The sequence below is a fragment of the Homo sapiens genome, chromosome 5 (genome assembly GCF_000001405.40).
Source record: "Homo sapiens chromosome 5, GRCh38.p14 Primary Assembly".
In the NCBI taxonomy this organism is placed as follows: Eukaryota; Metazoa; Chordata; class Mammalia; order Primates; family Hominidae; genus Homo; species Homo sapiens.
The window spans coordinates 51,964,394-51,966,183 of NC_000005.10; positions in this window are offsets into that span (position 1 = coordinate 51,964,394).

Sequence of the window (1,790 nt, forward strand, 5' to 3'; positions counted from 1 at the left end):
GCATCTCTAGGCTACTTTCACATGAAAGAGAAATAAACTCTATGTTATTGTATTTGTCTTCTATTCCTGCATAACAATTTACCACACATTTACAGCCTTAAACAACAACACCTCTTTATTACGTCACAGGTTCCATAGGTCAAGATTCCAGAAATGGGTTAGCTATGCTCTCAGCTCAGAGTCACACCAGGCTGAAAACAAGGTGTTGGTTGGGCTGCAAGCTCATATGATGCTCTGAGTCTTCTTTCAAGCCCTCTGGTTGTTGGCAGAATTCAGTTAATCATGGTTATAGGACTGAAGTCCACATTTTCTTGCTAGTCATCAGCCAGAGCTGATGCTTTAAGTCTTGCAGACTCTTTACTGCATAGTCCTCTCTGCAGGGCCTCTCACAACATGGTACTTTACTTCCTCAAATCTAGCAGGAGATTCTCTGAGGTGGTGCCTCAACGCTCTTCCTTTAGGAAGGGCCCAGTCCCTTTTAAGGGTTCACCTGATTAGATCAGGCCCACTTGGAATAACCTTTTGATTAACTCAAAGTCAATAGTCTTGTTTTTTTAATGACGTCTGCAAAATCCTTTCACCTTTGCCCTATAGAATAACTTAATCATGAGATTAAAATCCATTATACTCACAGTCAAGTGGAGAGGATTATACAGAGAATATACATCTGGGAGAGGGAATCATAGGGGCCATCTTAGAATTCTGCCTGTTACACTTGTTTCAGCTTTCATTATTTCATTTTTGTTATCATTTTTGACATATTGTCAAAACTCACTATCAATAACGTATCACATGGTATACCCACCTTTGAGTTTTATGAAGAAATGTTTGTTTAGATACATTTGCATACATTCTTGAATTGGTTATCAAGTCTCTACACATATATACACATTTTTTGTTGTAGATGCAACAAAATACAGTTCTAAATTCAGTGCACAAATACAATTGAATCAACTAAGATGCCTGTGCCCTTGTGTTTATGTTTTTCTGCATTTTAATGACCTTATTCCACATTGTACTTTATTTTGCAACTACAAATTGTTTTTTAAATTAGAATAACAATGCAAAAAACAATAAATATAAGGATTAAATTATGTTGTATGGCTAAAATGAATGGTAAGGTTTGTACAGGGAGGAGGTGAAGTATTTTTATTTTCTTTCACTCATTTGTGGTTCTCTGTCCTCATATATTTTATATAATCTGTAATTTAAAAACAGTTTTCCTGGGAAAATAATATTTGCCTTTAGCTGTCTTAGGATATACACAATGAATACAGGTATTATATTAAGTTTTCTCTACGATCACTACTTCTTATTAATCATTTTCCTAGAAATCTTCCACCCAAGAAGTTTTCATGGCAAATGGAGTTTATAAAACTTCCTTGTGATTGAAGAGCTAAATGAAGTATTGTCATTCCCTTTTGTACTTTTCCCAAAAAAGGTGGGAAAAATATTGACTTATGGGTATGTTTTGTTAATCTAAGAATATATATGACTTACTATATATTAAAAATGTTACCACCATCCGGCAATCATTCTGAGGATTTAGACATCATCTAGATAAATAATCTATTTTGCAGCAGGACTCACAAACTTAAATAGCTACAGGGATAGGCATAAATTATGAACAAGTTAAATAAGTCAGGTGTAAGAAAATACGGTGTGATGGGGAATGTGATAAACTACATAGTGAACTTTCCACTTAAAGGCACAGTCTCACACACCCCAACTCAGTCATTCAAGGCCAAGTCTCCAAGATCTTCCAAAGTATATTAGGAAAGCTGGTAATC